General features: G+C 35.3%; 1 long non-coding RNA gene across 1 annotated transcript in view; it reads right to left on the bottom strand.

Moving 5' to 3' along the window:
- Positions 1-21,846, bottom strand: part of LINC01697 (long intergenic non-protein coding RNA 1697) — an 89,196-nt gene extending 67,350 nt beyond the window's left edge. The window contains exon 1 of the long non-coding RNA NR_126010.1: positions 21,723-21,846. This is a non-coding gene — a long non-coding RNA (long intergenic non-protein coding RNA 1697). The remainder of the gene's footprint in view (positions 1-21,722) is intronic.
- Between the last annotated feature and the right edge of the window lie 1,481 nt (positions 21,847-23,327).

Genomic DNA, 23,327 nt, shown 5'->3' with positions numbered 1-23,327 from the left:
TAAAAGTATGTAGGACACATAAACTATCATTTTGCTTCTACAGTTCATCTTGTATTTAAACACAATAAAATATCAATTTTAATGTTTTTCTTAATTATTCACTAAGTGTCATATATACATATCACTGAATATATTACAGACATACATGTATTGTATATGTAATATATTAAAAGATAAGGATTAATTGAAGGGGCTTATCTGGTGCTAGAGTTTTGCTTTGCTTTTGAATTCTTATTTAATTCTGTTCTATTTACTGAATGTCCATCTCTGCATAATATTTGAAAAGCCTCCTGAGTTAAAAATAGTTAATTCTGGGAAAGAGCTCAGCTCTTGGTATTTAGCCATATTATTCATCTTATATGGCTGATACATTTATCATGCGTTGATTCAAATACATGCAGCTTTTAACTTTTTGCAGAAACTATAAGGTCATACATCACAGATTAATATTCTTCTCATGCCCTCCCCCCACATTCGTACACAAAGGTCTCTTGTGGTTAGTGATATTAATCCATTCCTGTGGTTTTGCAGTCAAGAGGAATATAGTGCAGCGTGCCTCCTCGTTTAAAACAAAAAGGCTTACGGTGTTCTTTGGCTTTATGCTGCTTGGCTTTCGCCAGAGGACAGCATCCATGAGAGGGATTTGCTTTGTTTTTCTAATTATCAGCAGCTGGGTGAAACAGCTTCCAAAGGGGGAGAAAACAACACAGAGAATTTTAAGCCATGCTACTAACAGGTGTTCCCAGGGATCAAGTTCTTAAACAACCCTAAGAGTAAGATGAGATGCACTTTGTTGAACTGTTGCTGATGGTAGAGGGAAAATAATCAGGAATTTGCATACAACAACTCATTAAGTCCCCTTCCCAGTATATTAAATAGACTTAATTTTTCGAAAGGCAATTTTGGATAAAGATAGTGAATGGTGTGCTGATATGAAATGACTACACAGCATAATTTCATTTTGCCTTGGTTTGTTACTCCTCCTCTCCTTGCCATATCTCCAATATAAGCCCCCCCCACATACATACATACACACTCAGATGTGTACACACTCATGTGAGTGCACACATATTGCATATTTACTGATAACATTGTCCAAGCTGCTGTGATGACATCCAGGGTCATTCACCTACAGTTTTATGCAATTATAAATAAAATAGAATTCAAAAAGAGCACAAGAACATATTGTGAAATAGGTGAGATAGCTCCGTGGGCTAATCCTGAATGGCGAGACTCATCAAATTATTTAGATTCTATCTTGAACTTTAAAAGCTGGTATAAATCTTAGTATGAAAGATTTAAGCAAAGAGAGATGGGTACTGGGTAATATAACTGCATGAAAGTATTCTTAAATAAATATAAGCCTATCTCAAGTTTATAGAAAAATAACAATCCCAAAGAGGTTATCCCTCACATAAAGGTTACAGTTTTAGCAACCGGGGCATTCTACCAGAGCTTTCAGGAGGTGATTAAAGTAGACTTTAAGCTTCAGTCACTTGCTGGGCTCTTTCACCAGCATGTGAAAATTTGCCACCTCATGGTGACCTGGAGTTTATCAAAGGCCAGTCAGTGTTAGAGAGAGAAGTAATGGCAGTAAGAGAGAGGATCACAAGAACAGTTAAGCCAAGACACTCAGTCTGTAGGCTCACGTTTCTTCCACTCCAGCACACTGGAGGAGCTACTCCCAGAAGAAGGCAAGGAAGAGACAGCTCTGAGCCAGACCTTGCTTAAGACAACTTCAGCAGCCTTCTGTGACCATTTGAGCTTCAGCTCAAATCCAGGCTGGTGTAAAAGGAGAAGTTGATTTTTACATTGAGTTTACATTAAAATTTAAAAGGTATAGATTTTAGTAATTAAAAGTGCCAAAACATTTTGGATTCTGCTCAAATGGCACTGAAGGTTAAGAAAGGAAGATTGATGGAACATAGCTGAAGGTAATGATCACAGAAAAATAAAATCACTGAGTGGGAATACTAGACCATGATTCTCTCAGGTGGATGACAGCGAACTGGCTGTCTACTGATAAAACTTGATATAATCTTAAAAAATTCCTGAAATAACCCTCCCCTACCTCTTCCCATTACCTCTTTAACATAAGTGGAAAAATAAAAAAAGACTAAAAAACTGCCTGCTTTTCTGGGCAAAGGCAAAATCTGTATTTAAGAGTGTTAATTATGACTCAATGACTAGATCTGAGTTCCACATCATTCCCTTTTTAATATCATCAGCTGTGTCTTGGCACTCAAGTTTTCTACGAGTTTGTATCATATGCAAATGTATTCTTTATTTCAGTTTTGTCTTTTCCTGTTATTTTTATTTTAAATTAACAAACTAGAAAGACAAAATATAGTTTACTATCCCCAAAATGTATGCCCACTTCTGTTATTGCTTTACCGGTTTTTTCTCTTTAAAATTATTTTTTAGGGTGAAGGGTTGTTACTGGTGGTAGACAGTATCATGGCACAATTGCTAGTAAAAGCTATACTTTTGGCTTTTAACTAAAATCTATGCTTAAACAAATACTATTTAAATAAAAAGATTAACTTTCTCAATAGATATGTTTTCTATACAATTTGAATACTTTCTTTGTGTATAGGTGTCATCAATAGGTAACATTTATATCAACAAATTATTATCATTTACTAGAATTTCCTGGAAATAAAAATAATTTTTAAAGACTTTAACCTATCTCTGCTTTACAAAACAAGCTGTTTATTAATATAAGAGTTCAGGACAAATATTTCTGAAAGAACTAAACATTATGTTGGTTGACCTACAGGTTCTCACCTACAGAGGGAAGCTGAGCTACCCTAAGCTGGAGAAGGGTGACTCCCAAACTTCTCTTTACTATGTAACATCTTTACTCTCTCTTCCAATTGCAGCTTTTTCCCTATCAGAAAACTAGGTCTCCTAGACTCTCTAAATTCAAATTCTTCACTCCACCAAAACCTGAATAAATCTGAATATAAACATGTCTCTGCAAATGAGTCATAAATAATCTTGCGTGCATCCATAGGTATTTTAAGACACCCTAACCTAAGCACATTACAGGTGCAGTGAGTAGCATGGCTTCTATGACGAAGTTGGCAGAGCCAACAACTCACATTTTTTACTCATATTAACATCTGTGTTCACAATACGGCATTGAATATTCATATCTGCCCGGCTTTTCCTATCTCTAGAAGTTTTCCAACCCCTCTGCCCTGCTGTACTTTGGCCATTTCTAGTTGCCACTCGAAGTTTTTCAGTCTTTGCAATTTTTATTTTTCTTTTGTCAGCATTTTCTTTTATCCCAGATCTTCCCCTCAGTACACAGATTTTTCCACTTATTTTTAGCTTTCCTTATCTTCTGAGCTCCAGCCCTTGCATGACTGTTTTTCTAGACTTTTGTTCAGTGGTTAGCTAACCGGGCCCACTACTCCTTTGGATTTTGGATCTTCTTGGTTAGTGAACTGAATGATTACCATGTTTTCTTTACTTCTGCTCTAATGAACTTTATTTGAACTACAGTCTTTAGTTCTCCTTCTGGCTGCCACTTCTGCCCTGGGAAAGACAACCATTACTTGAGAATTCTGGTTAATCAAAATGTTACCGTCCTTGAAAAATGGTCTAACATTAATGAATCTGACACCCAAATAGACACATAATTATATCTGCAACCTGGCTTTTGCAGAATTTAAAAATACAAATAAAGACTATGGTCGTGTTTTTTTTTTAAATTTTTAATTCAGTCAACCAAATCAAGGCTGCTTCCTTTTTCTTTTTTTTTTATCAAAAGGCTTGAGCTCGATAAAATGAACATGATTTTTTGCCAAGCAATTCTTTTTTTTTTTTCCCCTTAATTTTTAAGCCCATGGGTATTTCAAGGGAAATTCAACCCACATGTTTCTGATTCATTTACACTTAATTCATTAAAATATTGTTTTGTAAGAGTTATTTGATGTCCAAGGGCCTTATGAGTCTTTTTATATGACTTCTTATGCCATTTTTTTCCTCAAAAACAGGAAGTGGTATTTTGCTAAGAACTGAAACTCCAAAAGGGTTGAATTTCATATGAATCACATAAAGCACACTAAGATGATTGTATCTCTCCTGGGTCATCCTTGCTTTGAGGAAGCACCTGAAACAGTTACCTGCATTGACTATATGTTGTTAATGAAATTCCAATTTCTCCAACACAATTCTAAAATCTCCTAAAAAGGGAGACTTCCAAAGTCAATCTTTAAAAGGACACACAAAATGAATCAATTTAACTCAATATTCATGTGAATATAATGTTATTTATTAAGACAAAGTTTTATAGCAGAGGCATCCACCATGTGATAGCCTCAGGAAACCCCTACAGTCTGTTTATTTAAATCTAAACCTTCCTTCATTCCCTCATCTCACTCCAAGAAAGGAACTTTGGGTAAAAAGGGGCAGAGAAGGAGACTGCAATGGATTAAGCAAACAGAATGTGTGTGTGTTGGATGACAATAAGAAACACTGTAATGTATATCTAAGCTATGCTTTCTTATATAGAAGCAACAACTTTTTTAGCCAGAGACTATTTAAATAGCAGATGTGCACGATTTTCTTTGTGACAAAAAAAATTGGAATGCTTATGTAATGAGTCTGAACTTGCATGGATACACAGTTTTTACTAGCAGAGCACTGAAGTGTCTTCTTGAGAACGCTTGAGTTCAAGAGCAGCTCTGTGGTCCCTGAATGAAATCCAGAACCAAAGTCCCACCAAAGGGTTCTTCTGACTGGTTTAGTTTCCAGTGCAGGCAAATTCAATGAAGGAATCCGAATACCACTGAGAATAAGAGAACCATTTTGGATCAAATATTTGGCAGCTGAAATCAAAACTAGAAAAAAAATTATTAGGAAAAAAATTATCTGGGGTAAAAAGAAATGAGATTGGAAATAAAATTTCTTAGTAAAAGAACATAATGATGTGGAGAATGAGCAGAGGATGACAAGTCCTAGAAACAGAATGGATAAAGTACTTAAAGTAGAAGAGGAAGTTTTAAAAGAGAGAAAGAAACACAGTAAACTGTCAGAGGAAATACAGTGACAACTACTAAAGCTGAAGTTGTATTTACTTAAATCCAGAATACCTGGCTTACTTACTGGAAATATTCAAATTTCTAAATACAGCAAACACATGAAGTGCAGTAATTAGAACATCCACAATGTTCTCCCCCACCCAATTATTCACTGTAGAGCAACTAGATGGATACCTATGCAAAATCTTTGATGTAACATCATGTAACAGTACTGTACTGAAACTAATATTTTACAAAACATCCAAGCTTGACGTTTATTTAGAAACCTACTAACCATGATGTGTAGATTGCCTGAAAATAGAAAGGAATTGCCCTTTAACACCAACTCTGTTGATTCTGACATCAACATAGTTCTCTCAACCCCCAAACCATAAATACATGGGATAAACATCAATATTTATGTGTGCTCTTTTGCTCCACAATATCTCATGATGTGTGCCTTCAACACCTGTTCACAATTCCGCTTTCTTCAGAGAAAGCAAATCTTGAGTAAAGAGAGAAGATGAGTACCACATGATTGGTATAGCATCATAACATTTTTATAATGCCTTAGAAACATTGATTAATTTCCAACTATGGACAAGCTATTTTTCTAAAAACTTCAAGTAGTAAAATTAAATTTAAGACTCATTTCTTTAAGTGGATTACAATTTACTGGGGGTGAGAGGCACTAAAGAAATTATAATCCAAGATACTACATTAAATGTTATACAAGGGATGCAAACTATTTATTTTTTTGGTTTGAGCTAGGATCTTGCTCTTTTGGCCAGGCTGGAGTTCAGCTGCGTGACCTTGGCTCACTGCAACCTCTATCTCCCAGTTTCAAGCAACCCTCTCACCTCAGCCTCCTGAGTAACTGGGACTATGGGTATGCCAGCATGCCTGGCTAATTTTTAACAATTTTTTTTTTTTTTTTTGTAGAGATGAGATCTCACTATATTGTGCAGGCCAGAAACTTATTTTAATAGATACTAAAAATAATTAGGGTAGTATTTCAATTGGAGATGTTAGAAATGGTTTTATGTAAGAATTAGCCTGTGAGTTAGTAAGAATTTTAATAGGTATGAGTGAAAAAGAAGGAAGAAAGGATGAATGAAAGCGGGCAAGTAGAATGAGGTAAACTAGGATAGTTAGAATAACAGCTCTACTGGGAAATCATATTGGAAGTTTAATTGGAGCCATGCTGTTGGTGACCATGTGTGCCAGACTGAGTAATCTGAATAAGTACATAGTGCATAGTTCATTAGACCCTGGGAAAATGGAAAATAATTTGAAAATGGGGAGTGCGAAGGAGGTGGCACGGCTACATTTGTGTTTTAGAGCTTGGCAGTCAAATGTAGAAATTCTTAAGAATCTATGAGTGAGCTTCAGTAGCTTAAAAACCTTCAGAAAATTGATTTGTTTTCTGGGACAAGTTTTCTATCTTTTGTCAGTTTCTTTAAAAAGCCATGATGATTCAACAGTTTAACAATTATTGGGACCTGTTGGGAGGCAATGTTCCATGAATAAGTCCTCGCATCTACATATTCAGAGCTTTCTAAGCAAAGAGTGCTGCCACCTAAGTTAAAAGTTGATTGAATAGCAAATAATCCTTGGAAGTCAGAGACAGATGCTTCCAGAGAAATATAGAGATATATCTCCCCGTATCCATTTGTTTGTATTTCAGGGTAGTAAAGCAGTGACACATGTCTTGACTCTGAGAAACAACTTGTTTAGATTCTGGAACAAAGGTTTCTTTCTCTCTCAGGGAGCATGGGCAGTTTTGCTAGTAGCTCCTGCACAGGTGCTATTTTCATAACTTGGAGCCTCCTCTCCTGTGGTGTGAAGCTTGCTGCATGACATCTTGTAGTATCATGGGGAACTAGCACAAGTTCCTCTGTGAGAAAATAATCGTTTCCCCAATCAGAATACTTGTAATTATGTGTGTGTGTATATATATATATATATATGTATATATATGTATGTATATATGTACATATATAGCTCTCGCATACTAATTTTTGATCTTGCAAAGTAACATCTCAGACTACAGTTTTGAACTAAACAGAATCAAATATAAATTAAATACCAGAATAATACTGAGTATCACAACTAAGATAACTTCCATTATACAAGTATGTCTCAACATTATTAAATCTATTGATATAATTCATCGCATGAAAAGACTGAAAAAATAAGGCAATCATATTATTAAATGTCAAAATAATTTGATAAAATGTTGTATTCATTGCCAATTAAAAAAACCCTTAAACTAAAAAATAAGAAATTTTAACTCTATTACTATAAGCCACAGGTAGAAACCTACTATAAACATACTTAAGAGAGACAAAAACAAACATTTTATTATACTTAGCAAAGGAGAAAGATTCACACCATTGGAGCCCTACTGCAATAATACATAATAAAATAGTAGAAAAATTTTTATTATAATGAATAATAAAACATGCATACTGCTATCATTCCTTTATATTTTTCTATAAAATACTATAATCCTACCTAACTCTGAAGATAACACTCAATATTTGTATATTAAATAATTATTATACGAAAATATAGTTTTCAAAGTGTGGCCCTAAACCAGCAGCAGCTGCAGGTTCTAGACTTATTAGAAATGCATTGTCCGGTGGCTCACGCCTGTATTCCCAGCACTTTGGGAGGCTGAGGTGGGCAGATCACAAGGTCAGGAGATCGAGACCATCCTGGCTAACACAGTGAAACCCCGTCTGTACTAAAAATGCAAAAAAATATTAGCCGGGCGTGGTGGCGGGCACCTGTAATCCCAGCTACTCGGGAGGCTGAGGCGGGAGAATGGCGTGAACCTGGGAGGCAGAGCTTGCAGTGGGCCGAGATCGCACCACTGCACTCCAGCCTGGGTGACAGAGCGAGACTCCGTCTCAAAAAAAAAAAAAAAGAAATGCATTGTCTCAGGCGCTCTATCACAGACCTGCTGAACCCAGTGATTTGTGCTGTAACAAGCATCCTGGGTAATTCCTATGCACCCTAAAATATGAGAACTACTAATATAGAAAATTCAAGAAATTTTAATACACTTCAAGATAATTAAAGATAATAAACTGAAATAATCTTAGAACAATGTAAAATCCATAACATACACCGGAAAAATAGCTTTATAAATACATATATTAATGTCTTACTAAATGTCAGAAAGACATACAGAGCTAAAAGCTTTGTAAAATATGTGAGATAATATATCAACATCACCAGTATATAAAAAATACTCAAATAACGCAAAACAAAAAGAGATAAAATGTTTGAAGAAAATAAATGAATGACCTATCAAATATGTAAAAATATTCCAAATCAAACACTCATGAAAATTAATGCAACATTATAACTTTTTTTATTCATTAGATTGACAACACTGAAAGACCTAATACTCAGTATTGTCTAGGCCATAGAAAAATTCACACTCTTTGAAGTTATTGTGGAATTGTAGATTGTTAAAGCTTCTCCTTGAAAAGGGATAATTTAGCATTACTCATTAAAATTAATGTCAGATTTGTTCTTTGCCCCCAAATTTATACTTCTAGCATGTTATTCTATAAGGATTCTTAAACATGTGTGAAAACATGAACTTCTGTGTGTGAATCAAAGTATTATTCACTGATAGCAAAACACAGCAAGAACCTAAGTAATCTTTAAGAGGAAAATTATATAATAAATTTGTGTATGTGCATGCAAATGTGTAGAAATGGAACTAGCAGAAATGACCTCTGAAAAATGAATAATTCATTGATAGAAGGGGAAAAAAGAAACAGCATAACCAATTTGAGAAAGAGAATGTTTCTCTTTCCAGTGTCATTGATCAATTTCAAGACCCTGTCTTTGCTCATGGGCTGGGTGGGGGCATGTGCCCCAGAAATTGAGTTTCATGGATCAGATGCAGCTTGTTCATCTTGTTCGCTGGTACAGAAAATGATGTGGAGCTCTTCCAGTGGATTCAGAAAGAGTCACAAGTGGATATTAAATTTAAGTGGATTTTAGCTGTCACCGAAAAGGAAGAAGAGGTCATGTAAATAAGTTTAAAATGATAGCACTTAAAAGCCTTCATAATGAAGGAATGTACTCCAACTTAGATAACAGGACCATTTTAATAGATAATTTGTTAACTTTTCTGATTTCTTACTAAGTTCACAACATTCATTAATAAATTTCTTTAAAGGCTTTACGTATGCAGTTGTTGAAACAAGACAAAAAGAAAGTCAACCGCACAATAGCAATGAATACCTCTATCCTTATTATATCTGAAATAGTTTTCAGAATTATCATAACTAAATGTACTAATATTAAACATGTTCAAAATATATAGCTACTGGATTATATGAATAAGTGTCACAAATTACAAACATAAGTGACATTTGTTGATAGAGCAAAGCAGAGCTTTTTGTTGTTAAAAATACTCACATTTTAGAATAATTTGTGGGTGTTAAGTTATTCTGGGGTGAGAATAGCAGCAACTGCCCAATTCTAGATCACAAAAATTGTGCACCCATTTCCTCTTGTAATGCTATAGGATTAGCTGTTACATTTAAGTCTCTGATCTATATTGAGTTAATTTTTGTGTACAGTGTAAAACAGTTGTCCAATTTTGTTCTTTTGCACATGGATTTTCAGTTGTCCCAGCCTTACTGAAAACACTATTCTTTCCCCTGTTGAATTGTTGCAGCACCTATGTTGAAAATTAATTGACCATAAATGTGAAGTTTTATATCTGGATTCTCAAATATATGCCATTATATAAGTATAGCATTGTCTAATTATTGTAGTGTTGTGGTAAGTTTTGAAATCAGGAATAGTGATTCTACCAAATTTGTTCTTTTTCCAGATCATTTTGACGATTCTGGATCCCTTAAATTTTCATATAAAATTAAGGATTAGCTTGTCAATTTCTGTAAAGAAACCATCTGAGGTTTTGACAGGGATTACTTCAAATATGTAAATAAAATTGGAAAGTACTAATACATTCTAAATACTAATATTTTCTTAATAATGCAAATGCCTTAGTTCATGGACATATTGATCTTGTATCCTGCAATCTTGTTGAACTAATTTCTTAGTTTTAATAACATTTGTAGATCCATTAGTATAATCTATATATATATTAGTCTGTTTTCATGCTGCTGATAAAGACATACCTACGAATGGGTAATTTACAAAGAAAAGAGGTTCAATGGACTCACAGTTCCATGTGGTTAGGAAGACCTCATAATTATGGTGGAAGGCAAAAGACACATCCCACATGGTGGCAGGCAAAGAGGGAATGAGAACCAAGTGGAAGGGGTTTCCCCTTATAAAACCATCAGATCTTGTTAGACTTACTCACTACCATGAGAACGATATGGAGGAAACTGCCCCCCATGATTCAATTATCTCCCACTGGGTCCCTCCCACAACACGTGCGAATTATGGGAGCTACAGTTCAAGATGAGATTTGGGTGGGGACACAGACAAACCATATCATTGCGCCCCTGGACCCTCCCAAATCTCATATCCTCACATTTCAAAAACAATCATGCCTTCCCAACAGTCCCTCAAAGTCTTAACTCATTTCAGCAATAACTTAAAAGTCCATAGTTCAAAGTCTCATCTGAGACAAGCCAAGTCCCTTCTGCCTATGAGCCTGTAAAATCAAAACCAAATTAGTGGGGTTACTTCCTAGATAAAATGGGGGTACAGGCATTGGATAAATACAGCCATTCCAAATGGGAGAAACTGGCCCAAAAACGGGGGATAAAAAAACCCATGCAAGTCCAAAATCCAGAAGTGTAGTCAAATCTTAAAGCTCCAGAATGATCTCCTTTGACTCCATGTCTCACATCCAGATTACACTGATGCAAGAAGTAGGCTCCCCGGCTAGGCAATGCCCCAGTGAGGACACTGTGTGGGGGCTCCAACCCCACATTTCCCTCCCACACTGCCGTAGCAGAGGTTCTCCATGAGGACCCTGCCCCTGTAGCAAACTTCTACCTGGACATCCAGGCATTTCCATACATCTTCTGAAATCTAGGCAGAGCTTCCCACACCTCAATTCTTCACTTCTGTATACCTGCAGGCTCAACGCCACATGGAAGCTGCCAAGGGTTTGGGCTTGGACCCTCTGAAGCCATGGCCGAAGCTGTACCTTGGCCCCTCTTAGCCATGGCTAGAGCGGCTAGGATGCAGGGCACCAAGTCCCTAGGCTGCACACAGCAAGGGGGCCCTGGGTCCAGCCCACGAAACCATTTTTTTTCTCCTGAATCTCTGGGCCTGTGATGGGAGGGGCTGCCACAAAGGTCTCTGATGTGCCCTGGAGACATTTTCCCCATTGTTTTGGCTATTAATATTTGGCTCTTTGTTACTTATGCAAATTTCCGCAGCCAGCTTGAATTTCTCCTCAGAAACTGGGTTTTTCTTTTCTATCACCTCAGGCTGCAAATTTTCTGAACTTTTCTCTGTTTTCCTTTTAAAACTGAATGCTTTTAACAGCACCCAGTCACCTCTTGAATGCTTTGCTGCTTAGAAATTTGTTCTGCTACATACCTTACATCATCTCCCTTAAGTTCACAATTCCACAAATCTCTAGGGCAAGGGCGAAATGCCACCAGTCTCTTTGCTAAAACATAGCAAGAGTCCGGCCGGGCGCGGTGACTCACGCCTGTAATCCCAGCACTTTGGGAGGCCAAGGCAGGCGGATCACAAGGTCAGGAGATTGAGACCATCCTGGCTAACATGGTGAAAGCCCGTCTCTACTAAAAATACAAAAAATTAGCCAGGCGTGGTGGCGGGTGCCTGTAATCCCAGCTACTCGGGAGGCTGAGGCAGGAGAATGGCGTGAACCCGGGAGGCGGAGCTTGCAGTGAGCTGAGATCGCGCCATTGCACTCCAGCCTGAGTACTCAAAAACAAACAAACAAACAAAAAAAAACATAGCAAGAGTCACCTTTATTCCGGTTTCCAACAAGTTCCTCATCTCCACCTGAGACCACTTCCACCTGGATTTCATTGCCCATATCATTGTCAGCATTTAGGTCAAAGCCATTCAACAAGTCTCTAGGAAGTTCCAAAATTTCTCACATCTTCCTGTCTTCTTCTGAGCCCTTCAAACTGTTTCAGCTTCTGCCTGTTACCCAGTTCCAAAGTTGCTCCCACGTTTTAGAGTATCTTTATAGCAGTGCCCCACTACCTCGGTACCAATTTACTATATTAGTTCGTTTTCATGCTGCTGATAAAGATATACCTGAGACTGGGTAATTTACAAAGAAAAAGAGATTCAGTGGACTCACAGTTCCACGTGGATGGGAAGGCCTCACAATCATGGCAGAAGGTGAAAGGCACATCTCACATGGCAGCAGGCAAAGAGGGAATGAGAGCCAAGGGAAAGGGGTTTCCCCTTATAAAACCATCAGATCTCGTGAGACTTATTCAATACCATGAAAACAGTGTGGAGGAAACTGCCCTCATGATTCAATTATCTCCCACTGGGGTTCCTCCCACAACATGTGGGAATTATGGGAGCTACAATTCAAGATGAGATTTTGGTGGAGACACAGGCAAACCATATCAATATATAAGACAATGTCTTCTGCAAATAGACAATAAGTTTGAACATTTCTCCCCCTTGCTCTCTCTGCTGAGTTACCACTTATTCTCCACATTCATCCACTGAATGTTGCAGCCCCTGTCAAGCAGCTCTGACTATGGCTATTTTCTATGTGTGCTACTAATCAGTCTCTCTCTTTGTCCCTTTAGGCCCATGGGTGCCAATGGCTTTTTGATTTTTTTAGCCCTAAGGGACCACATTAACTATTATACATTTCTTCTAGCCTTGCCTGTACAATTTTCCTACCTTAGAATATCTTTTAAATTATATGTTGACATACTAATATGTATAAAAATCTAAGACATAGTCTAAAATGATAAAAATAATTTGCATTGTTAAAAAATATATTACTTCTTTCAATCTAAGTATGGGAAAACTTAAATATCTAAGGCCCTAAATCCTATACTACTGCTAATTTGCCTTTGCTTTTAAGGATTTAGAAATATTAATGCAAAGCACAGTGAAACAATATGTAACATTTATACTGAGAATCACTATTTTGAGAAAATTCTAACCTTAGTGTATGTTGGGAATTTAGAATCTATTAAAACGTAATGAAGAGTGCTGCATTTGTCTTTCAATAGTTCGTTATATATGTAAGGCAAATGCATTAATTGGCTTTTGAGTCAGAACAGTTTCTTTACGAATTACACATTAGCTGCAATTCAAATTAATCCATATGCCTCAATTTTATTTGAGAGCAGAAAATGCCAGGCTTGAATAACTACCAGTAAGTGACACGTCAAAATAATTCATATTAAAGTATTACATATACTTCAATATCCTCAAACATATCAGTCAATTTTACAATAGCTTCTGTTGAAATTCATCATACTTTTCAAAGAAAATCAGGCATAGAACAATTATTCTCTCCTTATCATTGTGTTTAGTGTCTTAGAAATAAGCCAGTTATTGAGTGAGACAGATTTTGAAAGAAAAAAGAAGGCATTGTAAAACAGCACCTTAGGTGGAAGAATTACAGATTTTAATTTAAAAACATTATGCTTACATTTCAATAGCTGGCATTTTTCACTTTTATATAAAATTTTAATAATAATGGGTGTTATTGAAAACACACTTGGTAATAAGATTTTGCATTTAAAATCTACTAAAATTTTATTAGTTTCTGAAATCCAGGAAGAAGATATTTTTGCACATAAGGTACATATTTTCCCTCCTGTTGTTGCTCCAGTGCTATTTCTTATAAGAAACTCAAGCTCTTTAGCATTTGCGTCTGACTTATGAAATTTACTACTTTTTTTTTTTAACTTTTCTACTTATCTTCTCGGTTTCATTTCATTTTCCTCACCTCCTCTCCATAATTCAGCCTGTAGAGATGTATTACTAGCCTGTGGAACATTATCTTTCAAAACATGCAGCCAACTGTGCAGAGGTCTGTATCTTTGTTGCTTTGATATTTCCAAGCTAAAATAATGCAGATGTCATTATTGGGGATCACTTTGAAAAGATCTTAAATCATGGGTAATTCCTTCTTTTTGTATGAGGAATGATTGTCCACGGAAACTAGGAAGGCGAAGATACATAAAATCCCTGGGCCCACGTATGTTGATTATAAGAAGGTTGCAGGACCTGAACAATGACATTATGTCTGTGGATAATAAATACAGATGACTTTATAGCTTCCAAAATATGTTCCAGAAACATAATTTTATATTACTTTATAGTCCTCATTTAATTAACAAACATATAGTTGCAAAACTTTCCCCAAAACTCACATATACCCAAATTCACAGCATTCTAAAAACAATGCTAAACCATCCACGTGATACTTGCCATTATGGCCCCAAAACTATTCTGCTGACATTAACGCATTACCCATTATATAAAGAAAGGGACAAGGATGAGACGGGAGAGGGGAGGGAGAGAGTTTATTTTAAGGGAATAATGTGAATGACATTCAATTTATCCATCACCATCTGTGGCTGAAAGGAAGAGGACGTTTATCTTTTAGCTTAAGTCAAGTGAGGAGGAGAATTTCAGGAGAATAAACACACACACACACACACACACACACACTCACCCATACAACCATACAACAAAACAAAACAAAGCCTTTGAGACCTCGATTTAAGCCCAGGATTTCAGGAGATACGAGTATGTTGTAGCTTACTGAACAAGGATACAGCGATCTATGTGTTTTACAATGACAAAGCAAAAGCATGGATTTCTCAAGGACTAGATTTAAGAACATGCTAGGCTTGTGTTATTGTAAAAGGATCTTGATCAAGACTACCATCAAGAGAGAAAACGCAGCTGCAGCAAGAGCAAGAGACAAGGTGAAGTCCAATGGCTCACTTCAAAAAATAGTGGCCAAAGGACCCCAGAAAGAGTCTAAGAGTAACCTTCACTATCATCCTACTGGAAGACAATTCCACTTTCAACATTCATTCACCAAGTCCAGAGAGTACCAACACCATCTCTGGTGTACCATACGCGTAAGCCTGTATTCACTACTCCAAATATCAGCTTACCTGGGCCCTATCTGTTAGGCAAGGTAGCAGAAGAGAAAGTAAGGTAAGGAGAAGGAAACAAAGCCATCACATTTCTCCCTCCACTACAGGCTCCTAACACTGGAGTGAGCCCAAGTTAGGGGAGAAAAGAAACGTTAAACAGATACATGTTTGTCATTTGGACTTTTTATGATGGATTGGACTATGTATTGGTACTGAATGAGTAGGACCATTTGAAATGTGAAAACATCAATCGCTGAGCATGTAATTATCAGGAGTGGTATGTTCTGCTAGAGATTTTATTTAGTGAGACAGAGAAAAAAAGAATAAAGTTGCTTTCTCTGCATACTGGTGAATCCAGGATGATTTTTTCTTATAGAAACAATACTTTTCACATCCTGCTCTTTAGACAAATTCACATCAACCCTTTTCTCACAATATAAAATACATATCTGTTTTGGCACTTACAAACACTGAGAAGCAGCAATTTCCTTTCTTCCCTCATCACGTTTTTTGACATGTCAATATATCCCTAATCAGTTGATCATTGCCAACATGCTAATCATAAGCACTAGCTCAGCCCAGGTTTATTGCAGTTAAGTTATTTCACAAGTTGAAAACATCCCCTGGTGGATTTTAATAAAACAGGGAACTTTGCTATGAAACTCTAGTTGTGGTATGATCAAAAAGTACATACTATTAAAAATGTTAGGGATCTAAAATTTATATACATATTATGTGTTAAAATTAACATTTCAATACAAATACAATAGAAAAAGGGGAGCAGATAAAAAAAGAAACTGGCAATACATAGATTTTTTACATGTTATCAACATACGAAAATAAAGTACTGAATCTGTTTAAAATATCAAATTCTACTCATGTGTTAAAAGCGTGTTTTGAGTAGTTAGGACACTCAAAATGCTGATTACATCTCCAGCACGTAGCCCGTGCTGGATATTTATATATCTGATCCTACCTATTTACAAGAAAAATAAGAAACAAAAAAAGAAGCAGAAATTAAAAGGATAAGGAAGCTAAAAAGGCAGGCAACGAAGAGTTAAACTCTATGATAGTGTTATTATTTATTTCAGATGTAAAGTTATATTACATATTATTTTTAAGTCTATTTGTCCTCCAGCAGCAAATGTACTCCTACTTTTAGGATTATAAATCAAAACTATTTATTGAGAAACTGTCATAAGTCAGGCACTATATTCAAGCTATGATTCTTTTACTATTTGAAATAAGGTTTAACCAGAAGGTTTACATGGAGTTAAAAAGTGACCAAATATTTAAAATGACTCAAACTGAATATGCTTTGTTTAGTTCAGGTCTGTTAAACATCAAGGGTAGACATGCCAGCGTTGCTTGAGTTCAGCACTGAGCTTGGTCAGCTATCTCCTGCTGATAAATAACAAAGAGGCAAAGATGACATTGAAACTAAATGATCCTGAGAAGGTGAAGGTTGAGCCTTCTTGAAGCACATCCATAAACATATGCACACACACACACACACACACACACACACACACACACAGGCCCCAAGTCACTTGGTCACTTCATAGGAAATAACTTCAACTACCAATGTGTATGTTTTGGGAAATAAACATGGAAGAAGATAGGTCAGAGTCAGATTAGTGTCATCATCAAAAAATGCCTGTACTACTTGGCTCTTCTTTAAATACGATACTTGGGTTAGGAACAAAGACTCTGCTGGAAAAGCAGTTTAATTATCACCAACCTTCTCAAAGCAAAGGACAAAACAACTACTGTGGGATTTCAAATCTGTCAGCAATCTCTCTTATACTTCATTCATCACAAGGCCCCTGGATTTAACAAGCACTAGGCCTCACCCACTTCAAAGACCATGGGGAAACCCACTTCAACAAAAGTCTCCTTTGAGCCTATGTGGAGTGATTTTACTTTCTTCTTACTCTTCATCCCAGAAGTTAATTCCAGAGTTGGTTGATACCATAATCTTGAGCAATCGACTGCAAACCTAAACACTTCTTGGCTGACTTTATCCCATTTGAAATGCATGAAGTTACTGTGATTCAAGTTATGCCCTAGGTGTTGATTTTTTATGAGCCTATAATCCCAGAGATGTAACATTTGATTTGTTCACATGGTGTCTATAAGAGTACCTTGCAGTGATAGAAAATTAGAAACAACATTTATTAATAAGTGCCAGGTTTCAAGGACTCCTGATCCATCCCCATGACATAAATCGTGGAATCTGCAGCATGTATATTTGAAATACATTACCATAAAATATTTATAATTACTTTTTAAATTCTCTTGGACTTGTCTTGGTGTCAGAAATATATTTATTTGTTATTAGTTATTTTTCTCTTGGCTCATTTCTCTTTGTGCATTTTCAGAGAATAACACTTGACCTAAACATTTGCATTTTTAATTTATTTATAATAAAAAGAACTGATAATTTGCCAACCGAGACATTATACTGATCTTCACCACAAGAAATAGATGCTATGTGTCTATGTATGTACGTACTGTGATGCAAATGAAGAAAGTAAAATGTGGAGCAATTAGATAGTTTGTCCAAGGTCACACTGAAGGAAAGCCAACACCCAGGAATCTCACTCTGTTGCCTGTTTGCTTAACAATACCTTAAGCTGCCCATCTATCAACTGTAGCTCAGTTCAAATCCATCCTCCTTCGTGATCCCTTCTCTGACCTCTTGGACTCCAAATCCTTTGCGGCATCCCTACGATATTGGCTTGTCATTTATTTAGAACATATCATGTACTATTTTCCATTGTCAGTTATCTAAGCTGACTAAAATTTCTGGTAGGCAGATCCTAAATCTTGGATTATCAAGGACCTACACCCAATATTATCCTAAGACTCAAAGCTAAGCAGTTACTTGATTTTATAACCTCTTTAGAAGAATCAAAACTGGAGTATACAAAAAGTTTTCCTAAATACAGTTTTGAATAATAGGGTCATAGATTTAGTATCATTAATACTTGCATATAAAGAAAGAAAACCAAAGGGTTTATTTACTTTTGAATCTTATAATTATCCAACTCATATCCATCAAAAGTAGGTACTCATTACAGACCAATGTTTCACAAGCCCCAGTGAGCACGGATTGCTTAACACAGAGAGAAATTGTTATTCCCTGATACACAGACTGAGAAACAGAAATGATTAAGAAAGGCCTACCCTCCGGTGGCCAACCTCTTTGGAAGTAAAGGATATCTACATCATGTTTCCTTTGATGTTAGGAATGAGGACTCCAGACTAACACAGATTGTATTTTCCCTGGTACAAATCATAATTTCCTCAAATTTTCCAGTTCCAACCACTAGATGTCATGCAGAGACCATAAAGTAGAACATCTTAGTGGTTTCTGTTGTTTTTTTTCCCCCCACGTCGAGCATTACCAATTTTATGAACTTCAACATTTAAGGTGGTTTGGAAAAATTTTAAGTGACAGGCATTAAAGACACAGGTCAGTGCAATTTATTTCACAGTCTGGGTGCATAGACATTATGGCAAAAATATATAGAATTAAAAGTACTACCTCATTCATTGCAAAGCATTATTTCCGGAATCTGAAAAATTCATGCAAGTGGGTTCCAAAAAAATAAAAAATAAAAAAGATAGAAATTCTAAAGCCTCCCTTCTTTAACAATCACCTACTTTACCCTGGTAGACAAAACTGGAATTCAAGAAAATGGAAAGAAAGCGTGTATAATAGAAAAAAAATCAAAAGTTTTGGATTAAATACTAGCTTGGACATGTGCTAATTGAGTAAACCTGCTGTAATACTTAACTTCTGTAAGTATCTGTTTGCTGGTCTGTGAAATGAGAATACCTGACATGCAATAATTGGGAAGTTTCAATAAAACATTGTGTATATATATATTTTATATTTTATATATATATATATATATATATATATATATATATATATATATATATATATATATATCTCAGGACCTCAGAAGATAATTAAAGAGTTATAGATTCTGGAGTCAGCAAGTTATGAGTGAGAGGTGAAGCGACTGGAAGAGGACTAAGTTGTCCAAAAAGACTGCAGCAGATTAAAAAAAAAAAAAAGCATCTGGCTTTAGGTATAGGAACATTTCAGAAATGGGTAAGCAAAAGATAAGAAAGAATCTACAGATACCTGTTTGGGTGTATAAGTAAAAAGATAATTTCAAAATCATTTCTTTATTGTTTATAATTAGATAAGCCTCCTGTAGTGGGAAATGAGAGTAAGAAGACAGAAAAAAAAATTGACCTCTTGAGAATAAAAATTCTCAAGGTGAAAGGAGATGGGATTCAGACGTGGACAAGGCTGATTGGAAAGATAAAGGATCCCTCTAAGCATACAATTAAAAATACAAACAATAATAAACCAAAATAAGTTTAAGGCAGGCCAACAGAGTTTGAAGAAGTAAACAATATAACATCTCACCCACCACCACACAAAGCTAGTTTTTTAATCGAGAAAACTTATACTATGGGAATCATGGCCTTTATCCTAAGAGCCATACTAGATGTAAAAATCTCTCTAAAGTACATGATACATATTTAAATATACACACATACATACACACATACACATATGCATATATAAGTTTTTGAAAAACAAAATTATGAAAAAGTTTTCTTTTTTATGCATCTTTTGCTTGTATCAATAAATCCTACAGTCAACTTACAATGAAGGCCAGTTTTTCTCAAACGCCGTAATGCTCTGCCTAAATCATTCATTTTAAAAATGATGGGTAAAACTTTACAAATAAAATGAAGTATACTTTATGTTAAATAATTTTGAATTCTCTATATTTAAAAATAATATTGAGATTATTACTCCAGTAAACAAAACTGAAATGCTAAAGATTACATTTAAATAACACATTCTTTATTATTATTATTTTCTTATTTTAAATTTTACTTTAAGTTCTGGGATATGTGTGCAGAACATGCAGGTTTGTTACATAGGTATACATGTGCCGTGGTGGTTTGCTGAACCTAACAAACTGTCATGTAGGTTTTAAGCCTCGCATGCATTAGGTATTTGTCCTAATGCTCTTCCTCTCTCCCCTTGCCCCCCACCCCCCGACATAGTGCATTAAAACATCAAGTATTGTAATTTGCAGTTTGTGATACACCGTGTAGGCTAGAATAAGAAACCTTTTAAGTATGAAATAGGAAGATATAAAGAAATTAATTAATTTTTAAATTTAATTTTAAATTTTCAATTAATGTTTATATTTTAATAATAATGCTTATAGTTTAATATTAGCTATTGATGTTTTATCTATAAAGGTAGACTATGAAATTTACTTTTTGCATATTTCAACTTTCTTAGTTTTCAAGATTTTTCAAATCATGTACATATTTGATGATTTTTATGATTCATTGAGGTAACTATTTGATAATATTGTTCAAAATGACCACATTAATTATGTTTTTAGTAATGATTTACTCCCCAAAAGGTATATGTTTCCACCTTAAATTCCTGTAAATAAAATTCTTGTGATAGCTTCTTAAAAAGTAAGAGAAAAGAAAGAGAAAACTGATTCGTTTCTACTTGGAGCTTGATTTCAAATATGTAAACCCCAACTACGTAATTCTGTACACAGGAATCTCATTATTTATTTTCATAGTTGCTGCTTTATTTAAAATTTTGTCTCTAAAGTTTATATTTGGCAAGACAAATAAAAATAAGCTGGTTTATAATTTTTCTTATTCTAAGATGTGCATGTGTATATGTGTAAATATGTTTTAATTTCTAATGGCCTGTCCAGATGAAGGTATCACTCCTGGAGACATGGCAACCCATATGAGAATGTTTATATACACTGGGGTGGAGAAGAACAGCCATGCCCAAATCCTAATTTAAATCACCTTCACCTTTGAAATGTTAAAACTGTATGTGTCTTTTTCAGTTTCTCTCTGCTCCTCCTTTTCTCCTATGCTCTTGCTCAGAAAACATTTAATTTCAACTCAGGTGTATTTATTAGAAAGAATCCTTCCATTTTAATTTTTTTGAAAGTCATTGGAAGCAGATCCTGTGTCCTTATAAAATTCCACAATAAAACATTTACTTTTGTAAGCTATGTGTATCTAGATGGTGATATTATTGTTAGGAAATAAAAGGAGAGCATTTGGTAACTATGGCAACATGATATGTTTCAAAAGAAATATGGACTCTTTTTCCTTGAAGAAATTAGATATTTTCCTTGACTGGTACTTAGGGATCCAAGTCTAGAAGAGAAATAGGATTTTTTAAGGCTCACTATTTTAGTCTTTTTTTTTTTTGGAAATTGTTCACCTAGCCACATCTGACAAAATAAAAGATTAAATTTGAGGCTGCAGAAACAAAATTGCAGTTGTAATTTGCCAGCACCTAGTCCATGTTAGGGTAAACAAACACAGTCAATTCCCATTTATCTAAAGTTTAAGCAATAATAATTTTCAAAAATGGAATTTCTTGCCGTATTATTTTTTCTCCAAAACGCACAAAATGAGAATGTGTTAGTCTAGTCTCATGCTGCTGATAAAGACATACTGAAGACTGGGCAATATAAAAAGGAAAGAGGTATAATGGAGAACTCACAGTTCCACATGGCTGGGGAAGCCTCACAATCGTGGCAGAAGACAAGGAGGTGCAAGTCACATCTTACGTGGATGGCAGCAGGCAAAAAGAGAGCTTGTGCAGAGAAACTTACATTTTTAAAACTATCAAATCTCATGAGACTCATTCACTGTCATGAGAACAGCGTAGGAAAGATCCACCCCCATAATTCAATCACCTCCCACCCGGTTCCTCCCAGGACATGTGGGAATTGTGGGAGTTACAATTTAAGATGAGATTTGGGTGGGGACACAGCCAAACCATATCAGAGAATATTCTTTATATAGAGATATATTGAAAAATGTTACTTCTGGTTTCAGTCATTACACAATAATAGAGTCCGACTTCTAAGTCAATAGTTTTAAACGAACAATTTATTTTCACCACAAAGATTCCAAAACACTATGTGACTGTGAATTATCATCCTAATCAGATTAATTTTTTGATATAATTTTAGGGTTAGTTTGGATTATTAGTGTGTGAGTTCTGTGAAAATTATGACAGTAAAATATGCCTGTAGCCATCAGCCTATAACAGGAGATCTCATTGTGAGCTCAAGGAAGAAGGAAACACACTGAAATTTCTATATTGGTGCAGGATGATGGTAATTGCAAGAAAGGGCTTAAATAAAACAGTAGTATAAAACTCAATCTGATACAAAAAAGTCAGCGGCAAGACAAAAATAGTTTATAAATATAAAATAAGGAATCAAATCTAAGCTTGTGCGTGAATAAGATTAAAAAATTATCAAATTCATGTTCAGTATGGTAGGAGTGACCTAGACAAAAGATGAGGAAGAAAGAGTGACTATCTAAGTAATTTTATGGGATTATTATGACTTTTAAAAATATTTGATCTTTTGAACATCTCACAGGATAAAATATTGAATTAATTAGAATATTTAGTTGACTGAAACACCCATTTTCTTACTTATTTTAAAAAACTGAATTTTAATGTATATAAGTATAGATTAATGAATGTATACATAAACACAGAGAAAGAGAGAGAGAGAAAAAAACATTCTCTGCATATTGCTTCTTCTTGCAAGAATGTTAAGAACAAACATTTTTCTTTATGTCTCTCTCCAATTAAGTTAAAGATGGTGGAGCTGCATACTAGTTGCTATTATAATAGCTTTTTCATAACATTTTGTTCACAGTTGGGAAAAACAAATGAGCAAATAAACATTGAGATGTAAAAGCAGTGTACCACTACCTTTAACGTACCAGTCTTTATTAGGTAAGAGAGTGTTTTGATGTGTATATTATCTTCTGCTTTATAAGGTAGCTTACTTTCACCTGCTTAGGTGGGAACAGATAGATGATAGATAGATAGATAGATAGATAGATAGATAGATAGATAAATAGCCAGATAGATTAGGTAGATATATAGACATATAGGTAGATGGATAGATAGTGTCTTAGTCCGTTTTGTGCTAATGTAGCATGCCTTAGACTGGGTAATTTATAAAGAACAGAGACTTATTTCTTACAGTTCTCGAGACTGGGAAATCCAAGGTTGAGGAACCTACATGTAACAAGGACCTTCCTTCTGTGTTATCCCATGGTGGAAGGCAGAAGAGCAAGA

The sequence above is a fragment of the Homo sapiens genome, chromosome 21 (genome assembly GCF_000001405.40).
Source record: "Homo sapiens chromosome 21, GRCh38.p14 Primary Assembly".
Classification (NCBI taxonomy): Eukaryota; Metazoa; Chordata; class Mammalia; order Primates; family Hominidae; genus Homo; species Homo sapiens.
This window is presented reverse-complemented; position numbering and strand designations above follow the sequence as displayed.